Source organism: Homo sapiens, chromosome 2 (genome assembly GCF_000001405.40).
Source record: "Homo sapiens chromosome 2, GRCh38.p14 Primary Assembly".
Taxonomy (NCBI): domain Eukaryota; kingdom Metazoa; phylum Chordata; class Mammalia; order Primates; family Hominidae; genus Homo; species Homo sapiens.
This window is the reverse complement of record NC_000002.12, coordinates 45,494,647-45,518,699: the sequence shown is the minus strand read 5'-3', so window position 1 is coordinate 45,518,699 and position 24,053 is coordinate 45,494,647. Positions and strand designations below refer to the sequence as shown.

Here is a 24,053-nt window from a genome sequence, read left to right as displayed (position 1 = left end):
GACTATCCCTTTATAGTCTGTCCAAAACATAAAAAAGATGTTTCCTTGGTTGATTCTTACAAAGGCACCAAACATGTTGTATAAATGTAAGTTGGAAGATTATTACCGACTTGTCCTTAGTCATGGTTTCCATGTAACAAGGTGCTGTAGATTAAGGTAATGAGAGGTATGAGGTGGGGCCATGAGGCCTCTACCAGCCTCTAAATTCTTTTTCTCTCTTCCACTCCACTCAGCAAACAACTGGACTGACAAATGCTGCCAGCCTAGTTTGGAAATTATAATACGGTTCTGTCATTCATTCTGCTCAAAATAATCTCATATAGCAGTGCTCAAGTAAATTAGAAGGTAGGTATAGTGGATAATTACTTAAATATTCAGTAGACTTTTTGAAGGGGCAGTATCGCACAGCAGAGCCAGATATCTGGTTTCCACATAAATTTGGATATTTTGCTAGTTTTATGCTCTTGGGTGAATTATTTACTTTCAGTTTTTCTACCTGTAAAAATGATGATGATAATACTTACAGGATTATTGTGGAGGCTAAATATATTATTGTATTTCAGTTAATCTAGGATGTTACCCATTTTAAGACACACCTTTTTAAGGGTAACTTTAAGGGGAAAAAAAGCCTGCCTATTATGATATTACACTTTCTCATCAAATAAAGAGAGCTTTTGAATTATCATCATCATCATTATTTTTTGAGATAGGCTCCCTGTCACCCAGGCTGCAGTGCAGTGGTGCAGTTGTGGCTCATTGCAGTCTCAACCTCCCAGGCTCAAGGGATCCTCCAACCTCAGCCCCCAGAGTAGCTGGGAGTACAGGCACGTGCTGCCAGATCTAGCTAATTAAAAAAAAAATGTTTTTGGTACAGACAAGATCTTGCTATGTTGCCCAGGCTGGTCTGACACCTCTGGGCTCAAACTATCCCCCTGTCTTGGCCTTCTAAAGTGCTGGGATTATAGGTGTGAGCCACCACGCCCAGCCTTGAATTATCTAGACATAAATTGTTATCATAAGTTACTCTTGTACATAGAAAAAAATAAAATATAAACTGAATAAAATTGACCAAGTTATTTCTGAAACTCATATTCAGAGACTGAGTTGAGAGTTAACTTTTACTTAGGATTAACGGGAAATTTCTGATTAATGCTTGATGACTTAGCTGTATACAGACTTGGTCAGAACTTGTCACATTAGTCTTTCATTGCCGTGAAATTGCTTTCACCTAATCCAAAGGATTTCACAGTTTTTTCTGCTTTTAGTTGCTCTGCTGTAACCTACTTGTTTTTTAGTCTTCTTTGTTACCACAACATGTTATAATGAACTCACTTATGTAAAAGTTGAGTTCTAATTGAAATTAAACATATTACAAAGCAATGTGATAGTCGTAAAAACAGGAACAGAGAGCAATAAAAACAACAGAAAATGCCAAAGCAGAGCTAACCATTTAAAAGATAAAACACACATAGAAAACAATAGGAAGAGAACATGGCCTGATAACGTTTGAACTGAATTTTAAACTGTTTAAATGATATTTAATTATGATGATTATATGGTGCTTTAGATACCCTCATTACTGTGTATGAATTAGTACAACCCTTCTGAAGAGCTAATTTCTTGGTATATTTTAACTTTTTGCTATAACATTGCTATGTATGTTTTTAGCTATTGGGCTGCACACTTTTTAAAATTTAAGGATTAGTAAATATTGGCTAACATGTAAGCTCCATGGGTGCAGGACATGTTTGGGTATTTATTTACTGATGTATCCTCAGACATAAGAGTGTGCCTAGCATATGGTACTCATACATTGAGTGACTCAATTAATATATTCTGTGTTAACCAGAACCTATGGATTCTAATATATCTTTTATTTATATTAACAAAATGCCTTTCCTGCAGAACCATGTTAAAATTCCTTACAGCATCTATATGGTGAGGGTACTTAGCTTTTTTTAAAAAGCAATACTTTTTTGATGAAATCAGAATGTATGTTTTTATACCTCTACACTTACAAATTAAGAATATTTTTATTGTTTTTGTGGAACTATCTACTCCTGTAAGCACTTTTAACAGTACAGAATAATCCAAAGAGCAATGTAGAGAATTATCTCTACTTCCTTCAAGGGGTAACAATCATTATTGTATTGGTGAACACTATTCCAGATATATCTGTTGTGTGTGTGTGTTACATAATTTAACAGTGATACCTGTTTTTTCCTTCACTCATTAATGTGTTACAGACAAGTACCATTTTAAAGGCTTCTCATCATTTTTAAGGATGGCCGAATAGTATCTTATTGCATGTGCATATTTTATGGTACTTTTTCAGAATGTGGATTTTTGTGGGGGCAGGGGTACCATTAAGCACACAGATCCCACCTTTCAAAACAGCTCCAGCTGCTGCTTATCCCTAATATTTATTTTCGAAAAGTAATAGTGTACTGTCATATATTTTTGTTTACATGTTTGGAATGTCTATTTTGTCCCCTTTTTAAGAGCAAAAGATTCTCATTTTAGCCCTTGGTACAATTCATATATTTAGTGTTATATATAAAATTTTGTTTTTTAATTAAACACAGTTCCTGGCACTTTGAAATGTGCTAATTAGATCTATCCTTTTCTTTCCTCTGTGTTTAAAGTCAAGGCTGAATACTTGACTAGGAGTGTTTTGAGAGTGGAAGAAAAACATAGGTAACACAGAGGGCAAGGCAGGGGCTGCTGAAGTAGTTATATCTAGGGATTCCCTTTAGAGTGTGTCTGTGGGACTTGTCATGGAGTGAATCAGCCACCATGCCCAGTGATTATGAAAAGGTGAATTTATGACCTGCCTACTGATGATAGAAATTGTTGACAGTGGTCTTTCTGTATAGAGATAACTTAGAAATATTACAACATTGTACTTAAATCATCTTTCAGGTCTTTCTTGGCTGCTGATTTTCTTTCTTCATGTAATCTATTTTTGTTTTCATACCTTCTCTATTAAGACAACAATCAGGTGAGAAAGAGGAGGAGAAACAGCATAGTGATCAGTTAGGGGTTGTCATGGTGGTAGAGTCACTGCCTCCTTAGGAGGTAATATAGTGCCAAGTCAAGGAGCGTAGACTCCAGAGTTATACAGTCTTGGATTTGAACCTCAGCTCTGCTTCTTGCTAGCTGGCTGACTTTGGGCAAGTTTTTGAATCTTTCTGAGCTTCAGTTTTCTAAAATACCCACATCTCAGGAATATGTGAATTAAATAAGATATCTACGCTGTACTGAATATAGTATATAGCTCACAATATGGGTTAAGAATATGGGTTCTTGAGTAAGACTGTCTGTGCTTAGATCCCAGCTCTGCCACCTACTAGTTGTATAACCTTTAACAAATTACCCAACCTCTCTACCTTCGTTTCTTCAGCTACTATATGGGATAATAATAGGTTTGCTGTGATAGTTAAAGAAATTAATACACATGTAGGATAACAGTGTCTGACCATAGAAACTGCAAATGTTAACACTCAGTAGCTAATAATAAATCTCCTTTAATTCTGAAATGGTTCCACATGTATATAGGATATAATTTCTTCTACTCTCTCTTGTTCCCATGTTCTCATGGAATTTGCTGTTCTTGAGCTTGAAACAGTATTAATTTCCAAGTGTCTTAGTCATATTGCTCAGTGTTATGTTTTCTTATGAAATACAGAAATTCCTTTTAAAATTAAAAAGTGACATCCAGTGATTAAAAGACTGAATAAGAATATTTGATCAAGAATATGGTCTGTTACAGCTGTTCATAGTCTAAGATAGACTTGGAGTTTTTGTTTGAAAATGCTTTGAAAATTGTTAGTGCCATTAAATTTGTAAGGTATAAGGAAGTTGTTAGTAATTTTAAAAGTGGTTTAAGTGCAAATTGGAACACTTTCAAAAGTATTTATTCCAGAGAGACTGGGATGAAAATAGGTGTTTCCTCTGGAAATCCTGACTGAGCCTATTCATTGAGTTCTGTAATGATAGAGCCAGAAGAACTCAGACAGTTTCAGTACCCTCCCCGCCGCCATCCCATATGATTCTGGCTGAGAAGGATCCAGAAGTGTGACACGTTTGTTTTCATTCTAGCCATGTATTATGTAGGCATATAAGAAAATTATTTTTCTGCCAAATTTTAGTTTAAATGTTAGCTAAATGACTTGTGTTGGAATGCACTCAGTAGCACTTTAGGAGTTAAACGCAGTGGTAAAGCAGTCGTTTTTTTCCCTTTTCATAGATAAGTTGTCACAAATTTTATTTTTCATATTTTTTTTGAGGTTCATACTCATACACTTGTGAAACTATATTTGCATTATTTAGAACTGGTGGTTATCCTGGATGTTACTTCTTCACAACAAATGGCCCCTACTTATTTGCTTTGTTACTATTTCACCACTTCGTTGAATGTGATTTCATGAACTGGAAATTTGTGAAAAATCAGGTTATAGGAAATAATACACTTAATTGTAAGAATTTCAAATGTACTTTTTCTTAGAGATGAATAAAAGTAGATTTTAGTAAATTCTTTAATTCAGACTTTTCGTAATCATATCCCATGGCTTTACTGCTATTTATCAAGTATTTTTATACCTATTCTTATTTATTTCTTACTTTAACCCCGTGGTTGTAAGTGTTGTTCACAGTTGATAGGTGAGGAAACTGAACTGAAAACTGATAAACTAATATGATGAAAGAGTTTGGACTTAAGTCCAAATCATCTGATTCTAAATCTCAAAGTCCTAGCACACCATGCAGCCTTTCCACCTCTCCATTGTTTTAATATGGTAGCTATTACCAGAAAGTTTGAATTGAGAGAATAAACTTGTCTTTAGCATCCTTTAATTTTTACCTTTTATCTTTGGTTGAGGAGACAATAGCAAAAACAAACAAACAAAAAAAAACTGTTTTGAACAAGACCGAATTTACATTCAGATTAATGAATTTTCATCTTTTTTTCAGCATTAAAGAATTTTCGTAAATTATACATGATACGGTATTTGAGTCAGAATACCCTCAAAGATCTGCTCTAACTCCTCATTTTCTTGAAGGGACCTGAGGGCTCAATGATCAAGCCAGCCAGAGTTTGTTCTTTATAGGTCCTAAACTCTGCCAAATAGTTTTTATTAAGGTTGTGAAATATAACACCTTTTGAATTTTTCATCTTCTTCAACTTTTATGCACTTTAGAATTCAGCATGAAGAGAATTTGTCTCAGTGCTAGGCTGAAACGAAGTATTTTATTAACTGGTCAGTTGTTTTTTTTTTTTCCTTAAGGGGCATTCTGGAGAAGAGGAACTTTCAGCTTGTAATCTAGCCCTTGTTACATAACTAGACTACTAGACTACATACCATATATTCTCATTATAACTGGACATCTTTTTTGAGCCTGAAATCTCAGCAGATGGCAAGAAATAGTTAGGGATTACGTTTGGGCTAACACAGTTTCGTATGATGAAGAATGTGGGGAAAGATCTGTCCAGCTCTCTGGCATGCTATCCTATGGATATGTTCTTGCTGGAGCCATGGGATAAAAATTATAGAAGAATATTGTTAGGGCCAGGAAGGAAAGAGTTTCAAAGTAGAGTTTGAGGCCATGGGGGTATATAGCTCAGGGGTAGAGCATTTGACAGCAAAGTAGAGCTTGATTTCTTGCTTTTTGATTTTGCTTTCTGTTGTCAGAGGGGCATGTGTTCTGGGGGTAATTTGTGTGTTTATTGTGTGCTTGCTTGGTCCTTCTCAGCATGAGGTTTGTGTCTCTTTCTACTTCCCTTAGTAGGTTAAAGGGGACAGACCTTTTTTTTCTCTAACAGAATTTGGAGGTCCATATTTCCATGACTAGCCTAGGAATAATACAGGCATAAAGAAAAATATTCACTTACACAAATTCCAAACATACAATCATAAGTTAAAAGTTCATAAAATAAGGGATAATCAGCACTTTACCAGTGAATCTTTGGCAATGTAAAAATTTAACTTTGTAGTTCCTTTAGCTGGTGAGCTCTTTGTTGCATTTAAAATGGATTTTGACTTATAAAAATTCAGTTTAAGATTTTCATGAATCCTCCTACACGTAAAGCACAATGATTGTCTTTCTGTTCAAAGCCCTAGTTGGTTGTCACATGGAAATAGTAGAGTTCGATATTTGCCCTTGGTGTAAATGCCTGAATTTAGTGTGCCAGAAAATTGTTATTTTTTGGAATTTAAAAGTATCTCTTCAACAGATAAGTACAATTTAGTATGTTGATAGGATTATCCTTCATAGATTCAGTTTTTCTTTTCATTGGGTAAGTGATGCGTATTCTCAGTAAACTAGGCTGAAAGTTTCTAAGTCCAGAATTGTGGTTCCAATAGGACTCTGAAGTTACAGATGTAGTATTCAAGTCATGCAAATGTATGTAAACTAAGGAAGTATGGTCTATAGGTAAAACACTTGGAGAAATGATAGTCAATTACATGAAGATTTTCTTTCCTTTTCTTTAAGCAGCCTTCAGGTTTAGAAGCTCAAGTTAGAGAAATAGTGTTTTAACCAAGAAAATCCCTTTGGCAAGACTCATATCTTGACAAAAGCATGTTGGTCTGCATACCACTTTGCATAAAAGATGTGTATTGCATTAACTATGGAGAAGAGAAGATTCCAGTGTATTTCAGCCTCTTTGCAGGATAAAGCAAAGCAAATCACGTAGCCATGCTGTGTGTCTCAAAGGGCTCTTGTGTGGGTATTTCAACTAGAAAGGAGATTAGCATTGGAAGTCTGTGATCATGTCATACATTTGTAATTGAAGGTGGCTGTTGAAAATAATTCTTTACATAACTGGATTCTAGCAGTCTTGATGAGGTAAGTAGAATCAATAGGAAATGATCTGTTTGTCACTGCTTAGCCACAATGCCAAAAAGCTTGGTATCTGGGAATGGAGACTTTAAAAAGCGTCAGCACTGGGAAGTATTTGATAATTCAAGTCTAAGAGGCTTCTTATGAAAAGTGCAGAAGGAATATATGCATGGGAATATATACCATTGAATTTTTGCCGATAACATTGTTTCTCGCCACAGTTAAAATTGAAACTTTGATCACTCTAGTAGCCACAGGTCATTTGATGATTTTTGCCAAACCGTAAACTTAGGCAACTTAAGTACCTGCCTCATGTAAACGGTCTTATATGTGAGCATGTTTTTCCTGTTATTTGTATTTCTATTCCTTGACATAAAGTTTTAGAACTTTTTGGGGGAAGTTCATGAACACTCATAGCTCTTTCTGGTAGATGAACATGACTCTTACTTCTGTGGATAAATTATAAATGTACTATAAAAATTCATCTGGAGTGGCAAGTGAAAAAGATACAGTATGATTTGCTGCCAAGAACATCTTATTACATCTGCATATTTATGCTGCTAATGAACGGATACTGCTAACAAGTCAGTTTCCGAAGATACGCAGCTTTGGCGAAACAACAAAGTGAACAGGAAATGTTTTTCTTAGAGGATTTTATTTGCTCATCCAAAGCAATAGAAAAACGTTAAATGATTGGTGGTAGATTTTATTTTCCTGGAGCACCTTGTACAGCCTGCAATTCAGTCGGTTATTGTGCTAAGGGATGGGTGCACTGACCTTGTCAAAAGAGGGAGCAAGGATTTCGTTTGACTTTGGTTTGTTGGTTCGCAATACTCATGGATATCTGGATCTCTAACCTTGGCTTTTTATAACTATAATCCTAGGCAGTCATTCACTATGAAAACACTTGTGCTTCTCTTTTTTTCTTTGTATTTGTTCATTTGAAAAGCCTTTCAAAAAGGAGTTGCAGCCTGCATGTGATTATAGCTATCAGTAGCACTTAACCTAACTGCTGAGATGAAACTTTTCTTTTTGGAACCTGCTAATTTTACATATCAATAGAAAAAAAATTTCTTGTACTGTTAAAAGGCCCGACTTTACTAATTGGTAGCTACTCTTTGGATTGAGCTAGAATCCTTAGGGACAGAATTTGATAGAATAATTTTTGACATTTTAATTTGACAAGAAACAATTCAGGGAAACGATTTTAGTCTTGGGCCTGAAGTGGAGTCTTCTCTTGCTGTTTGTGATACTTAGTGTGGGGAATGCCTTTGAAACAGCACTTTATAAACCCTGTGATCCATTTAATGTGATAGTTCAAGCTGCTTGGCTGTTTTTTTCATAGGAGCCTCACCTAAAATAGTCTAACACAGTGGAAAGATTTTTCTGTATTTTAGAGGGTAATGCAGTAAATTCTAATCTTTGTGAGAAAAACATAGCTTTCCAGAAGGACAATAAATTTAGGTGTAAAATGTGTGAATTGTATGCTCCTTTATCCTTTAATTGTATTATAGTCTACATCTTTCTAACTCAAAAAGTACTCTTTGTTTTAAAAATATCCCTTCCCACACTTGAAAATGGTAGAATAAGACTAATTTTAGTTACAGGTTCTTTGTGTGTTTGTGTGTATATCTCTATATAACAGAAAACTTACATTTTTAAATAATGAAGTTAAAGCTTTAAACAAGTAGAGTATATACACACATAAACATGCGTGCTAATTTGTTTCTGAAAAATTATCTTAGAAATCTGTGTTTCTCCAAGTATTTGGGGGGATATTTAAATAGCCAAACTAGAAATGAAATAGGTGTTTGAAAAAATATCTAGCTGGGCATGGTGGCTCACATCTGTAATCCCAACATTTTGGGAGGCCAAGGTGAGAGGATCACTTGAGCTCAGGAGTTTGAGACCAGCCTGGGCAACGTAGTGAGACCTTGTCTCTACTGAATATTTAAAAATTAGATGGACATGGTGGCACACGCCTGTAATCCCAGCTACTCAGGAGGCTGAGATGGGAGGATCACTTGAGCCCAAGAATACAAGGCTATAGTGAGCTGAGACTGCGCCACTGCACTCCAGCCTGGGCAGCAGAGTGAGACCCTGTCTTAAAAGAGAAAAAGGAAAAAGAAAAATATCTGGAGACAAACCTGGTTTCTAAGCCTGGGGAGTAGATTGGAAGAAAGGGAAAATATGACCTTTAGTTTCTTCTTTGCGTGTGTGTGTGTGTGTGTGTGTGTGTGTGTGTGTGTGTGTGTGTGTGTTTTGAGACGGAGTCTTGCTGTGTCCTCCAGGCTGGAGTGCAGTGGTGCAATCTCTGCTCACTGCCAGCTCCGCCTCCTGGGTTCACGCCATTCTCCTGCCTCAGCCTCCCGTGTAGCTGGGACTGCAGGCGCCCACCACCGCGCCCGGCTAATTTTTTGTATTTTTAGTAGAGATGGGGTTTCACTGTGTTAGCCAGGATGGTCTCGATCTCCTGACCTCATGATCCGCCCGCCTCGGCCTCTCAAAGTGCTGGGATTACAGGCGTGAGCCACCATGCCCTGCCTTGTGTGTGTGTTTCTAATACGTAAAATTTTGTTTTTTACTAGGTAAGGTTAGAAACTGATACTCTCAAATTTGCTCATAATAGTGACTTATTCTAGATGAGGAAAATGCATTGATTTTATTAACAATATATCCCTCGGAGATTAGGGTAGGTAGATGATTTGGAGAAGTAGGTTGCTTGATATCAATTAGTTATGTTGCTTCAGAACAAGCCATTATTAGTTTGTATCGTAAGTACTTTAGTGAAAGAAAAAATTTTAATGGATTTGGTGGTCATGTCAATTTGTGTACTAGCATGTATTCTCTTTCTCTGCACCTCCCTGCCCCCACCTCCCAACTCACCGTGCCCTGCAAACATTTTTCTGTCTGCTTTTTTTCTTTCTCTTCCTTTTTTCTTCTCTCATTTAAACATAGGGAAAATTGTCTAAGAATGCCTGTGACTGTAAATAATTCGTTTCATGAAGACTTATGACTTTAATCATTTTTACATTTATTTTAGTAAAAATCATTTATTATCTTTAGCAATTCACTGGGTAAAATTGCTCATAAAGAAGAAATATCACTATTCTATTTTCCTCTAAGAAAAAAAGTTCTAAGAATAAAAAAGTCAAAGTTAAGTCAACATAGCATATCACACATTGAGTTTGTATTCTAACATACTTTTGTTTTTGTTTTTTTAACTTTTAACTGAAAATAATGCTGGAATATGACTCCATGTGTGTGATATACTACAATAATATTAGAGATACTAATTTCACATGTAGTTGTCCTAATTTTGAGTTGGAAAACTTAACAGGAAAAATTCACTGGAGTCCTGTCATATAAAAGACTATATTTTTAGGACAACATCAAGTCCTTTAAAATTTATTTTGGAATGGAGGCTTTATGCTTAAAATAAACTTAGGGGAAATAAAATAATTTTAAAAGTTTCTTCAGCCATTGTGTATAGTTTCTGTTAGAGGTAATTTCCAGCACCGGAAAATCAGGAAGTCTGTAGTTTAAATTCTTCAGTATGAGATTATATTGCCAGTTTTCTTTACACATGGTGTTCAGTATGTATTAAGTGACAGCTGTAACTTTTCTTTTCCTCTTTTACCTTTGGGAATTTCAAGAACACAGCTTTAGCTTTCTTCTAATTTGTGTTATTTTTTATATTTAAAAACAATTTTCAAGAATATATACATTTAAATTATAGTGTGACTGAATAGCTGAACAACCTTCTAAATTTGTTTAGCATATTGTGTTTTAAAAATTATGTAAATATCTATCGGTCAGGCTTTAAGAACTTGTGTCAGGGGACAGTAAGAAGGGATGGGAGAAATGTCATTCCTTTTAGGTAAGATTAGACCAGGTTATGTTCATTTATTTATTTATTTATTTTGGTTCTTTTTTTCTGCCACTTATGAATTCATCTGAGCATTGAGAATTGTTAAGATAAAATGTATTTGCCAAAAATTAGGCCCAACAATTAAGTTTGAAAATTGCCAGGGATATCAAAAGAGATTTTAGACGATTTTCATGGCTTTAAGGGAGAATTGACTGAATATGGATTATTATTATTATTATTTTGTTTGTTTTTGTTTTTTGTTTTTTTTGAGACGGAGTTTTGTTCTTGTTGCCCAGGTTCGAGTACAGTGGCACGATCTCAGCTCACTGTACCTCCACCTCTTGGGTTCAAGCAATTCTCCTGCCTCAGCCTCTTGAGTAGCTGGGATTATAGGTGCCCGCCACCATGCCGGGCTAATTTTTTGTATTTTTAGTAGAAATGGGGTTTCATCATGTTGGCCAGGCTGGTCTTGAACTCCGGACCTCAGGTGATCCACACCCGCCTCAGCCTCCCAAAGTACAAGGATTACAGACGTGAGCCGCCGCGCCCAGCCTAATATGGATTATTTTTAAGTTTCAGAGAATGTTCTGTGATTTTGATAAGCATAGTCTTTTGTGATTTGGCTTAATCAAAGAGGTTGAAATGAGAGTCATTAGCCAAGTGACATTTAAGTGCCTTGGTTTGTCTGCTTGCTTTTCTGTGGATTGAAAAAAACTGACCACTGTTAATATGATTGTACAGTGACACTGGAAATTATGAGATGTGTGTCTGGTTAGTCCTGCTTGTATTTCAGTTGAGATACATACCAAGTCTGATAATGCAGAGCTTTTCCATTTCATGTGTCTGTTTACCATTTTCATGATCTTAAGCAATAAACATTTCTTGACAACAGCATCAGACCTCGTTTTTACCAACACTCATTCTTTACTATACGCCAAACATGAGCACAAATTGGTTTTTATCCATATTAATGAAAAACAAAACCCTCTATTTCAGTCTATAACACAGATACATGAGATGCTAGGAAGTCTGGAATCAATTAAGTCAGCCAAGTGTGTGGGAAAAAAGACAGCAGACATGGAAATCATATCAAAATGACTTGTTTTAAAGAACTGGAAACCTGCAGACTAAATGGTGAATAAGAAATTAATTTAGAAAACACTATTTAATATGCACTATTTAATTTACATTTGATTTTTAAACTGTAGAACATACGTGTGAGAGTACTCTTGGTCTTCAAATGACTATGGGTCTGTATTAATTGGTGTTTTTATCCTTTTCATGCTGTATATTTTAATTGGTCTTAGAAGAAGATCTGAAAATACAAAGATGAGAAATTACTTGAGCATAGAGTTTAAGAATAGTACTTGCTAGCTGATGACAAGGCAAGATAATATAGGCTCCCCTGGGCTGATTTAGTGTGAAATAGGCACAAGTGTATGGCAAATAAATGTCAGTGGGGAATAAAAAATGTCATTAGGGAGTAAAAAAGCTGGAGGAAACTCCAGCTTCTCTGTGAGAGAATTAGAAGATCATACCTGTTCTAGATACTTCCAAAGGCCTTTCTGTTGGCACTGTTTTATGTTAAAGTATTACTAAGTTAAATACAAGTAAAGTCCTGGCTCCTGCTTGTGCTTTATCTTGTGCCATAAGAGAGGAACTGAGGTGGTTTTGAAGTATGAATCTTTGTCCCAGTGATCCCTTTGTGTATTCCAATAGAGAATAAAAACCTAAATGAGAACAAATTTGCTTTTTCCATGGATGGATTGTATTATTAATCATATACTGCTCATCTGAGTGAACCCTAGTTTGTTTGATTTCTGATGTATCTAACCAGATGGCTTGACAGTAAATACTCCTCCCTAAACAAATCACTGATTTGTATGCTTCTTCAGCATCTCCTGCTTTGAATATTCCTTAAACATTATTACTCTTTCTTAGACTCAGGTCTGAGGAGCAACAAAGTATACTATCATGCCAATTGTGTTAACCTCTGGAGACAAAAATGATAATTGACTGACATTCACAAACAACTTTTAAAAGCCTCCAAAGCTTTCTTATTATTGGGAAAACCAGTGAAAAGATGACTGGGAGGAGGGATTAGGCAGAGGATATCTAAATAGAAAGAAGTCTGACCTAACAGTCCAGAGATCAGGTTTTTCCTAAGTCATGGTTTTAGATTATTTTGGTCTGATTATTTAACTCTTTGGGTCTCTCTTCCTCCAAATATGGGGAGCTTACTTATGATCCTAACTTCCTGATAAAGCTGTAAATATTAAAATGGGTTTGAGTTAATAGATCCTAAAACACTTTCAGGAAGCTCTTAAGTATTGTGCAAATGCAGGAGATTCATCTTATTTACTTTAGAATAACTGAAAAGGATCTTGAGAAAATTATACTCATTTGTAGACTTAACAAAGAATTTGGTGGCCATTTTCTTCTCTGCATAGAAGGAGCCAGTTTGACCAAATTATACACACAGGATACGGACAGGTGCCATTGTGCTCAGCTATTTTCCCTTATGTGAGAGCCTTGAGTTGGATGTTTCTCTGGGCAGCTAATCCTTGGCACCACAGCTTTGTTCTGATAGTGGCATCTGGCACTAGATTGATTTAACTGAGCCTGAGGTTTGCTCTTTTCAGAATGTGCTCTCTAGGCAGCTTCTTTGTGGCTCTGACATGACCACATGCTGCTGCTGCTTTTTCTGCCTTCTTGCTCCACATGTGAGGCTAAGACATTCTGACACCTGCCATTTGGAACCTTTACTTGCTGAAAAATGTCAAGATTTTCAGACAAGATGAAGACAGATATAACTGATTTTTTCCTTTCTCAGGAAGAGGCTGAGGGCATTTGTTCATAGATGGATGAGTTGCTGAAGTGGTACAGTTCATTTATTTTTGAGAGTGCACCACAGGTTTTGTGTAGAAGACTCGGTTGTGTTTATGTGTCCTTATTCTCCTTTGCACCTATTTGGTGTGATACTAATTTGATCTTTGTAGAAGTAAAGGTTTTAGTGATTATTTTCTGGACTTCACTAGATAATAATGAGGGTTGGCGGTGTGTTCCCATCCTTACTCCTCGTTTTTATTAAAGACTTCACGAGGAAATTGCAGATTTTTGAGGATGGGCTTCTGTTACGATCATATGTCATACATATGTACACACTGGTGACCATCAAATCTAAAAGGGCCAGGCGTAAGACCTCCTGTTTAAGGTCCTTGCCGCTTCCTCTTCCCTTTTCCCCCTCGAGCCATCTAAATGTCCTAAGTCTAGAGGACTGATTAGTAATAAAGGACAGAAAAAGTGTTTACTTGATAAGTGATAAGTTTTTGCCTTCTAGTAATTGATAGCTACCTGTTTAAGGAAGGAAATTGGTGAAAAAGGAAGGCTTAAAAAACTATTATTATTTTGCATATTATTACCTTTTAATATTATGGTTAAATTATAATTGGCTGTATGCTTTGAGTAAACTATTTCCTCTGTTTCTCGTATGTTGATCTTTATCTTGAATCTCTGGTCTGATTACATCACAGAGATGATGATAGTCTAATTTGGTGTAATTTGGGAAAGAAGCTCCAATGACTCTAATCTTTTTGAATTGCAAAAAACATAAAGAATTTGGATGAAAAAATGCCCTAAAAGTCATTTTTTTGGGAACCAGACTGTGTTGAAAGTTTGTGGGTCAGATATGAAGCTACATCCTCTGGCATCACTTTGGAAAGCTTTTTCTCAAGTGGCTTTAAGTGGCACGTGGAAAAGGGAGAATGAAGGATTGGCCAACAGGCTTGTAACTTATAGGGTAATTTGTGAAGACTAGTAGATAATTTATGAAGACTAGTAGATATGTAAAATCCATCTTGAGCAATTAGAAGGCAATGAGGACTAATGGCTTTTATGTTATCAATAAGATCCATGAATTGGAACATAAATATTTGAAAATATTTTATAGTAAAAACTTGGTAGTTCTTCAGTAAAGAAAGCTTCTTGCTTAGGGCTTTATATAACTCAAGACTGACTTGAGTTATATAAAGAAGGATTCTTGTTGCAAATTTAAACTTTCTTTATCTTTTAACTGGATTCTGCCTATTATAACAGTTTTTCCATAGAATTACAGAATATATGTCTTAGGTTATAGAAATAGCATTCATATAAGCCTCCTCCTCTTTGGATTTGCTTTTTGGAAGTGGGTAATCACTAAGGAAAAACCATGCATTATTTTGGGTTTCACCTTGGAAATGAATAACCTTAATATTACTTTGATCTGAATCAAACATATTTTACATTTGTTGAAGTATGTTTCACACAGTTGCTAATTATGGTATTAGACAAGATTTGAACTTTAGCTGCCGTCTTTGGTTCCTCTTAATTTGAAGTACAATAGATTTTCAACTAAGAAAGGGATGAATTGGTATGTGAATTATTTTAAATGGCTCTAAAGTGAAAATGACTAATAAAATTAGACAAAAATGCCAAGATAAATCAAATGTATTTTTAAGATAATATGCTTGTTCTCTATAATCTTTACCATGGTGCACCATTTATCTTATTAATTTGTAAAGTAGACATGTTTCTTATATTTTTCATAAGTAGGATGTCAAAAGCCATAGGGCTGACCAATGATTATGAAAACACTGGCGCAGCAATCCATATTCTTTAGTATGAACACTCCATCCAGTCTTCCTAGGTGATAGCTCAGGCCCATCTGAAGCTGAAATAAATGAAAATAAATTTATTTATTCCATAATATATTAAAGTCAGTTGCAAGTTTTCTTCATGGAAAGGGCTAATTAATATGTTTAGGATGCCAGTTATGATAGGCTTTGCTAAAACAAAACAGAAAAGTAGATGCTATGAAAGACATTTATGTATTGTGCAGCTGGAAAACTCTTAAGCTTTCACATAGTTCAAGGGCTTGGTATTTCTTTTGAGTTTTTGAGGCTTTAGAACAGTGATTCTCGTGATTCTCAGAGTGTGGGCCTAGACTTCATCAAAATTAAAAACTTTTGCTGGGCGCAGTGGCTTATGCCTGTCATCCCAGCACTTTGGCAGGCCAAGGCAAGAATATTGCTTGAGCCCTGGAGTTTGGGGCTGCATTGAGCTGTGATCATGCCACTGTACTCCAGCATGGGTGACAGAGTGATATCTTTTTTTTTTTAATTTATTATACTTTAAGTTCTAGGGTACATGTCCACAATGTGCAGGTTTGTTACATATGTATACACGTGCCATGTTGGTGTGCTGCACCACTTAACTCATCATTTACATTAGGTATATCCTAATGCTATCCCTCCCCCTTCCCCCCACCCCACGACAGGCCCCGGTGTGTGATGTTCTCCTTCCCGTGTCCAAGTGTTCTCATTGTTCAATTCCCACCTATGAGTGAGAACATGCGGTGTATGGTTTTCTGTCCCTGCGATAGTTTGCTGAGAATGATGGTTTCCAACTTCATCCATGTCCCTACAAAGGACATGAACTGGTCCTTTTTTATGGCTGCATAGTATTCCATGGTGTATATGTGCCACATTTTCTTAATCCATTCTATCATTGATGGACATTTGGGTTGGTTCCAAGTCTTTGCTATTGTGAATAGTGCTGTATTAAACATACATGTGCATGTGTCTTTATAGCAGCATGATTTATAATCCTTTGGGTATCTACCCAGTAATGGGATGGCTGGGTCAAATCAAATGGTGTTTCTACTTCTAGATCCTTGAGGAATCACCACACTGTCTTTTTGTTAGTTTTCCTTTTAACAGTCAGGACCCTTAGCTGCAGGTCTGTTGGAGTTTGCTGGAGGTCCACTCCAGACCCTGTTTGCCTGGGTATCAGCAGCAGAGGCTGCAGAACAGCCAATATTGCTGAACAGCAAATGTTGCTGCCTGATTGTTCCTCTGGAAGCTTCGTCTTGGAGGGGTACCCGGCCGTGTGAGGTGTCAGTCTGCCCCTACTGGGGGGTGCCTCCCAGTTAGGCTACTCGGAGGTCAGGGACCCACTTGAGGAGGCAGTCTGTCCGTTCTCAGATCTCAAACTCCATACTGGGAGAACCACTACTCTCTTCAAAGCTGTCAGACAGGGACATTTGAGTCTGCAGAGGTTTCTGCTGTCTTTTGTTTGGCTGTGCCCTGCCCCCAGAGGTGGAGTCTACAGAGGCAGGCAGGCCTCCTTGAGCTGCGGTGGACTCCACCCAGTTCGAGCTTCCCAGCTGCTTTGTTTACCTACTCCAGCCTCAGCAATGGCAGGTGCCCCTACCCCAGCCTTGCTGCCGCTTTGCAGTTCGATCTCAGACTGCTGTGCTACCAATGAGCAAGGCTCTGTGGGTGTGGGACCCTCCGAGCCAGGCGTGGGATATAATCTCCTGGTGTGCCGTTTGCTAAGACCATTGGAAAAGCACGGTGTTAGGGTGGGAGTGACTCGATTTTCCAGGTGCCATCTGTCACAGCTTCCCTTGGCTAGGAAAGGGAATTCCTTGACTCCTTGCGCTTCCTGGGTGAGGCGATGCCTTGCCCTGCTTCACCTCACGCTTGGTGGGCTGCACCCACTGTCCGACAAGCCCCAGTGAGATGAACCCAGTACCTCAGTTGGAAATGCAGAAATCACCCGTGTTCTGTGTCGCTCACGCAGGGAGCTGTAGACTGGAGCTGTTCCTATTTGGCCATCTTGGAACCACCTCCCCTCCAGAGTGATATCTTGTCTAAAAAATATTTTAAATTAAAAATCAAAAAATTTTTTTAAAATTAAAAGTTTTGTGTTTCAAGTGAGATTCATCCCAAGTATGCAAGGATGGTTCAACTTATGCAGATCAGTAAATGTGATACATCACATCAACAGAATCAAGGACAAAAACCATATGATCATTTCAATAGATGCTGAAAAAGCATTCAGTAAAATCCAGTGTCCCTTCATGATGAAAACTCTCAACAAATTGGGTGGAGAAGGAACATACCTCAACACAATAAAGTCTGTATATGACAAACCCATAGCTAATACACTGAATGGGGAAAAACTGAAAGCCTTTCTACTAAGATACAGAACAAGACAAGTATGCCTACTTTCCCACTTCTATCCAACATAGACCTAGCCAGAGCATTTAGGCAAGAGAAATATATAAAGAGCATCCAAATTAGAAAAGAAGAAGTCATATTATCCTTGTTTACAGACAACACCATCTTATATTTTCAAAACCTAAAGACTCCACCAAAAAACTCTTAGAAGTGATAAATGAATTCAGTAAAGTTGCAGAATACAAAATCAACATATGAAAATCAATACTGTTGGCTGGCTGTGGTGGCTCACACCTGTAATCCCAGCACTTTGGGAGGCCGAAACGGGCGGATTGCTTGAGCGCATGAGTTCAAGACCAGCCTGGGCAACATGGTGAAACCCCATGTCTACAAAAAAATTAGCTGGGCATGATGGCATGTGCTTATAGTCCCAGCTACTTGGGAGGCCAAGGTGGGAGGACAGCTTGAGTGTGGGAGGTGGAGGTTGTAGTGAGCCGTGATTGTGCCACTGCACTCCAGCCTGGGCAATAGAGCCAGACCTTGTCTTAAAAAAAAAAAAATCAATATTGTTTATATATACTAGCAGCAATCTGGAAAAGAAATCGAGAAAGCAGTCTCATTTATAATAGCTACACACACACATATACACACCATACACACAGAATAAATTTAACCAAACACACACATACACACACACACACACACACAGAGACATGCACAGAATAAATTTAACCAAACACACACACACACACACACACAGGATAAATTTAATCAAAGAAGTCAAAGATTTTTCCAAAGAAAACTATAAAATACTGGTGAAAGAAATTAAAGAGGATGGAAAGTTGGAATAATATTCCATGCTCCTAGATTGGGAGGATTAATATTGTTAAAATGTCTTTACTACCCAAAGTGATCTACAGATTCAGTGCAATACCTATCAAAATACCAATGACATTCTTCATAGAAGTAGAAAAAAAATACTAAAAATTCAAATGAAACAACAAAAGACCCCAAATAGCTAATGCAATCCTTAGCAAAACGAACAAAGCTGAAGGCATCACACTACCTGATTTCAAAGTATACTACAAAGCTGTTATAACCAAAACAGCATGATACTGGCATAAAAACAGACACATAGACCAATGGAACAGAAGAGAGAACCCAGAAGTAGATCTGTACACGTGGAGTCAACTCATTTTGACAGTGGTGCCAAGAACACACACTGGGGAAAGGACAGCCTCTTTAATAAATGATGCTGGGAAAACTGGATATCCATTTGCAGAAGAATGAAACTAGATCCCCGTTTTTTACCATATATAAAAATTAACTAAAAATGGATTAAAGACTTAAATGTAAGACCTGAAACTATAAAACTGCTAAAAGAAAACATTGGGGGAAATGCTGCCGATCAGTGGTCTGGGCAAAGATTTTTGGGGTAAGACCTCAAAAGCACAGACAAAGCAAAAATAGACAAATGGGATTACATCAAGCTAAAAAGCTTCTGCACAGCAAAGGAAACAGTCAACAAAGTGAAGAAGCAACCTACTGAATGGGAGAAATTATTTGCAAACTATCACAAAGGGATTAATAACTAGAACATATAAGGAAGTGAAACAGCTCAATAGCAAAAGAAAACCCACAAATACTGTGATTAAGAAATAGTCAAAAGACCTGTACAAACATTTCTCAGAAGAAGACATACAGATAACCACTAGATATATTAAAGAAATGCTAAGCATCACTAATCATCAAAGAAATGAAAATTAAAACCACAATGAGATGTCATTTCACCACAGTTAGAATGACTTATCAAAAAGGTAAAAAATAACAAATGCTGGAGAGAATGTGGAGAAATGTGAACACTCATACACTGTTGGTGGGAAGGTAAGGTAGTATAGCCATTGTGGAAAATTCTATATGGGTTCCCTAAAAAAAACTAAAAATAGAACTGCCATATAAGTCAGCAATCCCACTGCTAAGTATATATCCAAAAGAAAGGAACTCAGTATATTGAAGAGGTATCGTACTCCCATGTTTATTGCAACACTATTCACATTAGCCAAGATATGGAATCAATCTAAGTGTCTGTCAGCTGATGAATGGATAAAGAAAATGTGGTATGTATACACAATGGGATATTATTCAACCATAAAAAAAGAATGAAACCCTGTCATTTGCAGCAGCCTGGATGGAACTGGAGGCCATTATGCTAACTGAAATAAGCCAGGCATGGAAAGACAAATATTGCATGTTCTCACTCATATGGGAGACAAAAAAGTTGACCTCATGGAGACAGAGAGTAGAATGGTAGTTACCAGAGTTGGGGGGCATGAAGAAGTTATATAGAAGGAATAAGTTCTAGTATTCCGTAGTACAGTGGGGAAATTATAATTAACAGTAATTTATTATATATTTTTAAATAGAAGAGAATTGTAATGTTCTCAACATGAAGAAAAATAGATGTTTGAGGTGACAGATATCCCACTTATACCCTGATTTGATCATTACAGATTATATACAGATATCAAATTATCAATGTACCCCAAAAATATGTATAACAGTTATATATCAAGTAATTTTCAAAAATTAAAATGAGCACACACAACTTTCTGTTTCAGAAAACCATTAAGAGAATGACAAGATAAACCAAAATTGGGAGAAAATAATTGCAAATATTGTATCTGATAAAAGACTTGCAGTTAGAATACGTAAAGAACAGTTATGACTCACTAGTAAGGAGACAAACCAATTAAAAATGGGCAGAATAGATATTTCACTAAAGAAGGTTAGAAAAGGCCAATAAGTACATTGAGTAAATGGTTTACATCATTAATGATTAAAGAAATATAAATAAAATTATAAGTAGATAACACTTCATAGCCACTAAAATAGCTATAGTAAAAAGAGAGACAAATAGTAAGTATTGTCAAGGATATGAACAAACTGGAGCCTTCATTCATTGCACCTAGGTAGTTTTCTTTTTTGAGACGGAATCTCACTCTGTCGCCCAGGCTGGGGTGCTGTGGTGCGATCTCAAGCGATTCTCCTGCCTCAGCCTCCTGAGTAGCTGGGATTACAGGTGCATGTCACCATGCCGGGCTGATTTTGTATTTTTAGTAGAGACAGGGTTTCACCGTGTTGGTCAGGCTGGTCTTGAACTCCTGACCTCGTGATCTGCCCACCTCAGCCTCCCAAAGTGCTGAGATTACAGGCGTGAGCCACCACGCCTGGCTGGCAGTTTCTTAAAAAAAAAAATTATATGAAATTGAATTTTGGTGATGGTTGTACAACATTTACTAAAAGTCATTGAATTATATTCACTTAACATGGGTGAATTTTATGCAATGTAAATCATACCTCAGCAAACCTTAAAAAGTGTGGGCCCGGGACCAGAAGTATCTGATTCACCAGAGAACTTCTTAGAAATGCAAATTCTCAGCCACAGTGAAGTAGAAACTGTGGGGGTGTGGCTCAGCAATCTGTTTTATGAAACCCTCCAGCTAATTCTGATGTAGGCTCCAGTTTGAGAATTACTGCTCTAGATTGAAGGAAAGTTAAATGGAAATGTGGGTTGTTTTTGGTACCGTTTATGTACATTCAGTCTACCCTGTTCCTGTAACTGCAGGAAGGGTTTGAATTAAGGACTGTTCTAGTAGAATTAAAGGAAATTATAGGGCAATGACAGTAAAAATAAACTGGCCTTTCATGTTCTTGGTATGTCCCCATGAGAAGCTCTATGATTGTGATGTTTGTGTACCACATGTTAGTAAATTCCTGTGTTCTTTTAGGCTTGCCATTAATGAACATAGCATAAACAGGTTCATTTGCCATAGCGACAGTAGAAGTTTAGATCCTTGAAAGGAATTATGTCTCCTAAATATTTACACAGTGTAATATAGCAGAGTCAGAAATGTGCAGTGATCACAAAAAAGTAAAGATCTGACTCTAGATTAAGAAGCAGCCGGCTGAACTGAGCAACTCATTCTTTCCCTCCATCTGTTCAGTGTACTTTAAAAACTATGATTAGAAAAGAGGCTGATCTGTACATAGCATGTGTTTTCAGGATTTTTTTTCAGCATTAGCTGGGTGGCCAACAGAAATTTTGAAGGTTGAGGCTGCTCCAGAATAGATCTTCAAGATCCAAACTGGAGGCTACTGGGTGGTGAGTATGTTAGATGAAGTTTGTAGATAGGGTCTCCTTTGACTGGATAGTGGTGACTCCTGCTGAGGTATAAGTTCAGAGGAAAGTAGAGGTTGTGGGGAGAGAGATAAACAAATGTAAGAGAAGGGAGAGAGGGAGGAGTGAGGAATGGCATCATGAATGTATGTCATTTGTTAGTGGAGTTCGCTGAGATTGTAACAGTACAGTATAGAAGCATATTAGTGAATGTAGCAGAAACCATTGTTATTTCCAAAACTTTATTCAGCTATAGGTAAAAAAGAACTGGGCTGTTTGTTGCCGGCAAAGTATATCGCTGCTTCTATCTTTCTCTTTTTAATTATTATTATTATTTTACTTTTTACTGTTGTTTCATTTTGCTTTTTTTCTGTTTGTTTATTTGGGGTTTTCTTTTTTGTTGTCATTCTTTTTTAATGCTTTTAATAGTCAGTATTATTGGGAAAATATAGCAAAATATTAGAATATTCTCAAAGTTGGCTAATTCTGTCTTACGTTATTAGATAATGATGGAGTAGAATAATTTGCAATATGTTTTATTCTAAAAAATCTATGCCATAGCAATCTGAACTTCTCATATTTATTACTGGACAAACTCCCACAGATGCATTTAAGCTAAAAATAAAAACAAAACAAAACATAGGAGCAGTGGAAGAGTAAATGATGCAAAATGATGCAAACTTTTCCCTTTGTTAAGCAAACTTCACAATTCTCTGTGCAGCTCTCAGATTTGTATCTGAATGAAGGTGCACTTGAAAAGTATAAACAAATACAGATAATCTGGTATTATATGAGTAAATACAAATTTGAGTACAAAAGACATAAATAATTTTGGAGTTAAGTGCAAGAATCAGGAGAAGCAACTTTTGGGTGCTTTGTGGGGATGGCAGGTGGGTTGACATACCATGTTTTTTAAGCCAATACATTTCAAAATGTTGACCAAAGACCATTTTAATTATAAAATTAGAATAGTGTTTATTCCCTGCCCCCTTAGGTTTTGTATCTTGTTAGCAGTGAACCTGGAATGTTTATAGTACTGTTGCAAACAACGGTTTCTTCCACAGTTAGTGTTCCTTCCTCTCTATGAGCCTGCTTTTCCTGTCCCAGTATCAACCAGGCCCTTGCCTCTTGCCTAGTCGAATGCCACTTACGCATCAGGTCTTGTGTTTGGTCCTGTGGCAGTTTTTTTCTTTAGTTTCCTTAGTGGTACCATTAAATACTTTATGGTATGGCAACAACTTTATGTTGGTATCAGATACAGGTAGAGAAAAAAGATAAAAGAGGGATTTTGAAAGAGAAAAGCAGAATGCGGGGAGAGAGGGAAGAGAGAGAGAGAGTGAGATGCTTACTGTGGAAGGTAAGGGGAAACAATTTCTGCTTACGCCATTCTTTGTTGAAATTTCTTCTACCTCAGTAGAGGTACTTAATCTACAAATAGGAAACAAACTTTCCATCTTTTTTGTCCTTCAGTTTGTTGATTTGCTTTTCCCCATGATGGCATTTGAAGGTACCATTGAGTTTGTCATCTCTGTGAAGTTTGGAACCCCAAAATCCAAATTAAAGCTCTGCTTTTTAGTTGGTAATTCGGGTCTGTCCATTTTAGGTTTATTTTGTGGTTGGAAAGTGTTCTTTTCATCCACTGTGGTATGGGGCACCAAAAGAGAAGTAGCCAAGATAATTCTGTTCTTTTGAAAGACTGCTCTGTAGCTAAGATTTGATAGGATGTCCATCCTGGAGTATACTTAGATCCTCTGGTTGGTAGACTTTTTATTTTCTCCCAGGCTTGGTGTGGATCCTCTGTGTGATAACTGTACCACTACTAGAGTTGTTCTCTGTGGAAAATGATCATCTTTTTTGAAACATAACAAACTTAAAAAAACAAAAACAAAACGCTGGTAATTGAAGAATTGCTTCTAACTTGTCCTCCACCAGATGGTGCTAGTGTTACGTATCTAAAGGTAAACTCCTTTGGTATTGAAGTAAGGAGGTTGTGTATTTTCTTTCTCTTTTTCTGCCTCACCATATTTTGCCCTTAGTACTTTTTCATACATGCTACTTTCCTGGCATACTGCTGCATCACTTCACATATTTTATATTGTAGATAGTGAGCTGGTTATGCCTTAGTGATCATGAAGGATAACTTGGGAGGCCAAGTAAAATTCAA

At 36.8% G+C, this 24,053-nt stretch overlaps 1 protein-coding gene across 8 annotated transcripts in view, besides 1 other annotated feature; it reads left to right on the top strand.

Annotated features, from left to right (window-relative positions):
• SRBD1 (S1 RNA binding domain 1) overlaps positions 1 to 24,053 on the top strand; it is a 222,588-nt gene that overhangs the window by 92,568 nt on the left and 105,967 nt on the right. The gene's annotated exons all lie outside the window — the stretch shown is intronic.
• Positions 7,436 to 7,730: a silencer, noted in NCBI's record as "tiled region #7031; HepG2 Repressive non-DNase unmatched - State 16:ElonW". NCBI's record gives its function as "represses a minimal TATA promoter and a strong SV40 promoter by Sharpr-MPRA in HepG2 cells {active_cell/tissue: HepG2}" and the evidence as "EXISTENCE:reporter gene assay evidence [ECO:0000049][PMID:27701403]".